General features: G+C 45.8%; 1 annotated feature.

Annotated features, from left to right (window-relative positions):
- Positions 504-1,128: an enhancer, noted in NCBI's record as "H3K27ac-H3K4me1 hESC enhancer chr1:198025825-198026449 (GRCh37/hg19 assembly coordinates)". NCBI's record gives its function as "activates a minimal SCP1, AML or CMV promoter by ChIP-STARR-seq in naive H9 embryonic stem cells {active_cell/tissue: H9 hESC(naive)}" and the evidence as "EXISTENCE:reporter gene assay evidence [ECO:0000049][PMID:30033119]".

The raw sequence follows: 1,378 nt of genomic DNA, 5'->3' as shown, positions 1-1,378 counted from the left end.
ATTTTAAGACATTTTTAAAGCCACAGACTTTCAAAGCCACAAACCATGAAAAAATATTTTCAAAGTATGTATCTGACAAAAGACTTAAATTTAGAATATATAAAGAGCTCTCAATACTTAAAAGTGAGAAAACAGATACCCCAATTAAGAAACGAGCAAATGATTTAAACAGAGTTCACAAAAAAGATGGCAAATAAGCACATGAAAAGTTGCTCATCATCGTTAGTCATTAGAAATATTCAAATGAAAACCACAATGAGGTACCATTACACACTACCTTAGGCTAGCAAAAATTACTAAGATTTGCTGCTCCAAGTGTTGTTGAGGATGAGGAGGAACTGGAAATCTTGTAAACTGCAAATGAGAACGTAAAATGGTTCAACCATTTCAGAAGATAGTTTGGCAGCTTCTTAAAAGGAGAACATCTATGACCAATGAGTCACACAGTCCAGCTATTCCTCTCCTAGGTACATACTCACAAGAGATAAAAGCATATGTTGAGGAGGTCTTCAAGACGGCTGACTAGAGGAATCTGGCACCCGTCTTCTCCACAAAGAAGAACCAAAATAGTGAGTAGATAATCACTCTTTGAATAGATCATCTAACAGAGAACACTGAAATTCAACAAAGAACTGAGAGGAAACACCTAAAGCAAGAAAGAAGTGGAAAGGGAGGCAGCCTGCTTGGCCAGGATTGGCTATGAGCCTTGAGAGGCTGTCCATTGTGGGAAAAAGGTATGAAATCCCCAGTGGTCCACATTCCCACCATGGACTCCTGAAATCCTAGCACAGGTGATCCCTTCAATCCTCCTGGGCCCTGAGACTAACATGGGAAGCTGTGTGGAGACTACAGAAAAGCATTGCTCCAGAGAGGGAGATTGTGCTGCACCTCACATACCCACTGAGTTCTAAGTAGCTACAGGAAGGTGTCATTTTGAGAGCCTGGCCCCGCCTAACTGCATCCTGCCCTGGAGCTCCAAAGCCCCTACGTCTCCACATCCCTGAAGCCCTGTTGATACCTCCTGCCTGCAGCCACTGCTGTGGCTGGCTGCTGCCACCAGTACCAAAGCTTAAGCCCTTGGCAGTTAACCTGACTCCCCCAGCAGTGGAGTCACCATGCATTTTCACTTGCCCTGAGAACAGACTCACCTGCCTGCAGCCACTGCTGCTATGGGCTTCCACTGCTAGATTCAAAACATGAGGGAAGTGCATGCTTTCCAGCCACCTGCCTACAACTGCTGCCACTGAAAGCAACCCCATCTGTCCAGTAGCAGGACTCCAGCACAGGCACTGCTGCCCCTGTCCAAGCATTCTGCCAGGGACCTGAGGATTAACCTTCCCCTGCCTACCATAGCCAGTACCTGCACACACCACTGGGG

Source organism: Homo sapiens, chromosome 1 (assembly GCF_000001405.40).
Source record: "Homo sapiens chromosome 1, GRCh38.p14 Primary Assembly".
Taxonomy (NCBI): domain Eukaryota; kingdom Metazoa; phylum Chordata; class Mammalia; order Primates; family Hominidae; genus Homo; species Homo sapiens.
Note: the sequence above shows the minus strand (reverse complement) of the source record. Positions and strands in the feature narration are given on the sequence as shown.